Source organism: Homo sapiens, chromosome 6 (genome assembly GCF_000001405.40).
Source record: "Homo sapiens chromosome 6, GRCh38.p14 Primary Assembly".
NCBI classification, from domain to species: Eukaryota; Metazoa; Chordata; class Mammalia; order Primates; family Hominidae; genus Homo; species Homo sapiens.
Window position 1 is genome coordinate 4,185,727 of NC_000006.12, and position 5,854 is coordinate 4,191,580.

A 5,854-nucleotide genomic window follows, 5' to 3' on the forward strand; every position below is an offset into this window, starting at 1 on the left:
ATATCTCAAGCATTGATCTTAGGAGCAATTTAGGGAGGGTCAGAATCTTGTAGCCTCCAGCTGCACGATTCCTAAATCATAATTTCTAATCTCGTGGCTACTGTCAGTCCTACAAAGGCAATCTAGTCCCCAGGCAAGAAGAAGGTCTGCTTTGGGAAAGGGCTGTTATCATCTTTGTTTTAAACTATAAACTAAGTTTCTCCCAAAGTTAGTTCAGCCTACACCCAGAATGAACAAGCACAGCCTGCAGGTTGGAAGAAGACGGAGTTGGCTAAGTTAGATCTGTTTCACTGTCTCAGTCATAATTTTGCAAAGGTGGTTTCAAGATCAGTGATGAGTTCTAAACCTCTGGTCACATCACGTCTACCTATAACTCATTGGCCAAAGCAAGCCACATGGCTGAGTTGAAAGTCAAGGAGCAGGGAAATGTACTTCTCAAGTGTGAGGAAGTTCAGTTATATAACAAAGGGAGTGAAGAAGAACCAGCCCCTACTTCAAGTATCTCTGCTTGTTGTTCTTATCTTGTAAAATTAAAAAAAAATTTTTTTAACTACTCATTTCCTGGGATTTTGGAGGGAGGAGGAATTATATGTCCAGTCTCTCATTTTAACTCAAAATTTTACTTGTTTCTAGAGAGATTCTCATCTACTAATTTCATTATGTGATGCACTTCAAATGTCAAGTTTTATCTCTATTAGTTTTCTATTGCCATGTAACACATCACCACAAATTTAGCATCTTAAAACAATATACATTTATAAGTTCACTATTTTCATGAGTCAGGAGTCTGAGCACAGCTTCTCTGGATCTTTGCACAGGGTGTTGGCCAGTATGCATTCTCGTGTGGCGCATGGTGTTCTCTTCCAAGCTCACATGCTTGCTGGAAGAATTCAGTTCCGTCATATCTTAGGACAAGGCCCAGCCTGGATACCTCTCCACTTGCAGGGGGACAACAATGAAGAGAATCCAGAATCCAGTATTTGGCCCTGTCTTTGCCCTCTGGGATATTGCAGGTGCTGAGAGGACTTCAGCCGCTGCAGGTCCTGGGGAAAAAAAATCCAACTGTAGAAATAAAACAGCAATTGAAGAGCATGGAGACAGAGAAGAGGTATCCTGGAGGTTCTCACCCAGTATGGTAAAGGGCCTTGCAGGGGGACAAACAGGACGATGGGAAACTCAGGAGAAGGTGATATTCAGAAGCCCAGACAACACAGAGGGGAAGCCTGATATTCACAATAGCTACAGTCTAATAACAGCTAACACCTAATGAGTCCTTCAGTGACAGGCATTGTATTGATATGCACTTTCCATCCCTATGTATTTACTCCTCACTATAAGCCTAGGAAGTAGCTAGCATTACAGTCTCCATTCCCAAATGAGGAAGCTGTGGTCCAGAGAAGTGAAGTAACTTGCTCAACATCACAGAGCTCCGTTAAATAAAGTTTATGGGAGGCCATTGTTTTGGACTGAATTCCTGCACTAGGTCCCAGCAGACCTACCCAAAATAGAGTTACTCATACTACGATTCCACATCACCAAACCAAATGCTAAGCTGTTTACCTGTAAAGTCTGATCTTTTCAGAAATCAGGAGAGATATGATAGCCAAATCTCACTAAGCCAACAAGACTCTCTGTAAGGAAAGTAACTTTGAAATGGCAAGTCCACCTTATGTTCCTTGTTTCGGCTTTCTCCAGCCTTTTCTGCCTATGAAACCTGCCCTCTCTGCTCAGCTCAGTGGAGCTCCCTTCCATTTTGTGGGCTGAATGCTGCCTGGTTTGTGAATCACTAATAATTGTCTGTTAGATCTTTGAATCTCAGTTTGTTGAAAGTTTGTTCTTTGACACCTTGTAAGTAGGAATAAAAACCCAGAATAAAACCTAAAATGTTCTTGTCCAAATCTGGCTCATGAGCAGCACCCAGTAGGACCTATGAGCAGATGAGGTACCCCAGATAAAAGCCGTCAGGCCCCAGGGTGCCTGGCAGGGTCTCAATCACAAACAAGACAGCTTTCAGTCTTTGGGAACACGTGCTGGGCTGTGGTGGCAGCAAAGTGGGATTGTTGTTGAATAACATGGTGTTGGAAAAAAGCTTTCAAAATTCTGCTTGGGGTAGGAATTGCCTCAGAGTTTGGAAAAGCCCTGAGTTGTTAGGGGAACAAAAATGGTGTCATGAGAGAGAAGAAGGGATAAGATTAAGGTAGGAACTGACGGTTTAAATGTTCCCTGTCGTCAGGTCCTAGGTTCTAAATCGGACTTTTCTTACCCTGAGGGCTTGGGTCACTCCAGCCCCTAAGCCTAGCGTGGAGTAGAGGTAGTCAGGAGCAGCACCATTCCAATTCCGCCTTGTCGGCTGCTGCTAAGGACAACAATTGCCAATGCTACTCTTGTTTAAATTGAGACACGCCCTCATGAGCTCTTCATCTCTTTAGCCAGACTCTGTTATTTTTTCTCCAATACACATTCCCTAAATAAAAAACATAAGGTGATAAAAAATTGAGGTTGAAGGTTGGAACTGAGCTTCTCTGAGAATGCTCTTCCTACATTTTTATTTTACTTTTTTTTTTGGTGAGACGGAGTCTGTCGCTCAGGCTGGAGTGCAGTGGCACGATCCCGGTGCAGTGGCGTGATCCTGGTTCACTGCAACCTTCACCTCCCGGGTTCAAGCGATTCTCCTACTTCCACCTCCTGAATAGCTGGGATTGCAGGTGCAGGCCACCACGCCTGGCTAATTTTTGTATTTTTAGTAGAGACGGAGTTTCACCATGTTGGTCAGGCTGGTCTCCAACTCCTGGCCTCAGGTGATCCACCCGTCTCGGCCTCCCAAAGTGCTGGGATTACAGGTGTGAACCACTGCGCCTGGCCTGAGAATGCTCTTTCTATAGAGTAGCTTGGTGTAAAGAAGAGGACTCTGGCTTCAGAAAAAAGGCAGACTGGTTTAGACCCCGGCTCTGCTCCCTGGTACTCACGAGAAACTTATGAAGCTTTGTAACTCCCTGGTCATCATTTACCTCTCCGTGAAACAGAGATAAGGATAAACTACAATAATTATATATAATTCTATAGGCTTGTAAAACAAAAAATTATAAAGTTATAAATAGAATTAAATCATAATATAATTTACAAACAAAATTATATAGTAAACGTGTACATTCAGTCAGCCGTCTATATCCACAGGCCCTCTGTATCCTGCATCCGTTCATTTAACCAACGTGGCCCGCGAGGGGGCGCGAGTGGGTGCCAGGGCGCAGTGGGAAGGGGGCCGCGGAGCCCGCGAGGCACATGCGCAGTGCAGGACCCCGCCATTTTGTCTTCACCGCAGCCACGGCCGCAGGTCGCGAGTGCCTGCCAGCAAATGATTGAGGGAGTTGCTGAGCGTCGCCGTCGCTGCTGTGGGGAGAAAGTCGAGCAAAGCTAAGGAGAAGAAACAGAAGTGGTTGGAGGAGCCAGCAGCCATGGATGCTGTTTGTGCCAAAGGGGACGCCATCAGCAGGCCTGGAGACCCTCTGGAGGCTTTCCTGCTGTTCAGGAAATCTGATCAAAACCGGGTTGAATGTCTCTACTGAGTGTAGGCCAGGGTCTGGACTGGAGCCAGCCACCATGGATTGGGCCTTCGACCTGACCAAAACCGATAGGCAGACCACGTATGAGTAGAGGGAGTGGGGCTGGAAGGACAGAGAGAAACGGGAGAAACGGTAGTCACCCAGCCTGGTGCCTCCTCGCTTGAGAATGCATTGCCCACCTGTTGCATTTTTTCACTTCCCGTTTGATGTGGAGTGCAGAGGATGAAGTCCTACGTGGGAAGCAAGGTGCGGTGGAAAGGCCTGGGGGAATTTCCTCCTACAGAGACTGCAGCTCATGGCCAACAGGACACAGATGATGGAGGTTATGTTAATGGTGTTCAGGCACAATCATAGCACCTACCAATTCTTCAGAGAAGCCTGCAGTTTGAAATTGATGACTCTTCCCCCAGCATGTCTGGTTGCTGTGGGGAGGACTGCTCCTATAAGATCCTGAGCTGGAGGACCAAGTTTGGGGACAGCCAGCATGCCCATGCAGGTGGGCACTGTGGTGGCTGCTGCCACTGACCTCCTAGAGCCACTTGCAAATCAGTGTGCTCTCTTCTAAGGCCTGTCGTCTCCCTTGGTCTCACCATTTGCCAGGTGCCCTCAGAGCTGTGGCCTCCTCAGCCCTGCACCTGTCGGGCTGCACCCCGAGAACACGGAACACTGCCTCCCCTCTTCTGGAAGACCAGCGTGCCAGGAGAGAATGAAGAGGAGAGGGAAAAGTGAGTGGAGGACTGACTGTGAAGCTCATCCTCACAGTGAGGCTCCTGGGCCATGGGGTGGAGGTTCTGAAACCACTTCGCTGCAGCTCCTAGATACTCCCCTCCCCCACACATACACACTTGGGAAAATGGAATGTTTATTTTCACCTTTGTGAAAATCTTGGAGTTCTGGGTCTGTGGTTTGGAACCCCAAAGAGGAACGCATTGGGTGTAAGATCTGGGCGTAGAGAGAGGCTTCAGAGAGACTAAGGCTTTCGCAGGTGGAATGCTCTGACGGAGACTGTGGGAAGATATTTTGTGCCAAGATGCAGGGAAGTGAGGAAAGCTCTTTCCTGCTGTTTTTAATGAATCCATGGAGTGGACTCAGCTTGGGACCAGTAGCCGCTGGGAGGAAGGCTGGCTGTCTTCATCGCCACTCGTCATTGCCATCGCCACCGCCACTGACCATACGAGAGAGGCTGAAAGTGTGTCTGGAATTGGTGGGTTCCTGGTCTCACTGACTTCAAGAATGAAGCCATGGACCCTCACAGTGAGTGTCACAGTTCTTAAAGGCGGCGTGTCCAGGGTTTGTTCCTTCTGATGTTCGAATGTGTTCGGAGTTTCTTCCTTCCGGTGGGTTCGTGGTCTCGCTGGCTCAGGAGTGAAGCTGCAGACCTTCGCGGTGAGTGTTACAGCTCTTAAGGCGGCGTGTCTGGAGTTGTTTGTTCCCCCCGGTGGGTTTGTGGTCTTTCTGGCTCAGGAGTGAAACTGCAGACCTTTGTGACTAGTGTTACAGCTCTTAAAGGCAGTGTGGACCCAAAGAGTGAGCAGTAGCAAGATTTATTGCAAAGAGTGAAAGAACAAAGCTTCCACAGTGTGGATAGGGGACCCAAGCGGGTAGCCACTGCTGGCTCGGGCAGCCTGCTTTTATTTTCTTATCTGGCCCCACCTACATCCTGCTGATTGGTCCATTTTACAGAGAGCCGATTGGTCTGTTTTACAGAGAGCTGATTGTTCCATTTTGACAGGGTGCTGATTGGTGCGTTTACAATCCCTGAGCTAGACACAAAAGTTCTCCACTTCCCCACTAGATTAGCTAGATACAGAGTGTTGATTGGTGCATTCACAAACCCTGAGCTAGACACAGAGTGCCGATTGGTGCATTCACAATCCCTTAGCTAGACATAAAGGTTCTCCAAGTCCCCACTAGACTCAGGAGCCCAGCTGGCTTCACCCAGTGGATCTCGTACCAGGGCTGCAGGTGGGGCTGCCTGCCGGTCCTGCACCGTGTGCCCACACTCCTCAGCCCTTGGGTGGTCGATGGGACTGGGTGCCATGGAGCAGGGAGCAGTGCTCGTTGGGGAGGCGCGGGCTATGCAGGAGCCCACGGCAGGAGGGCGGGGAGGCTCAGGCATGGCGGGCTGCAGGTCCCGAGCTCTGCCTGGCGGGGAGGCAGCTAAGGCCGGGCGAGAAATTGAGCGCAGTGCTGGTGGGCTGGCACTGCTGGGGGACCTAGCGTACTCTCCACAGCTGCTGGCCTGGGTGCTAAGCCCCAAGCCCCTCACTGCCCAGGGCCAGCCGGCTGCTCGG

At 49.1% G+C, this 5,854-nt stretch overlaps 1 long non-coding RNA gene and 1 pseudogene across 1 annotated transcript; one reads left to right on the plus strand and one right to left on the minus strand.

The window, feature by feature from the left end:
• Positions 1–593: 593 nt before the first annotated feature.
• On the minus strand, positions 594–4,303 carry LOC102724096 (uncharacterized). The gene is made up of 3 exons (NR_125874.1): positions 4,151–4,303; positions 2,264–2,464; positions 594–1,043 (listed from the first exon to the last, which is right to left on the minus strand). It is a non-coding gene; the product is annotated as an uncharacterized LOC102724096 (long non-coding RNA).
• Positions 3,342–4,282, plus strand: NAA40P1 (NAA40 pseudogene 1; annotated as a pseudogene).
• Positions 4,304–5,854: the final 1,551 nt, after the last annotated feature.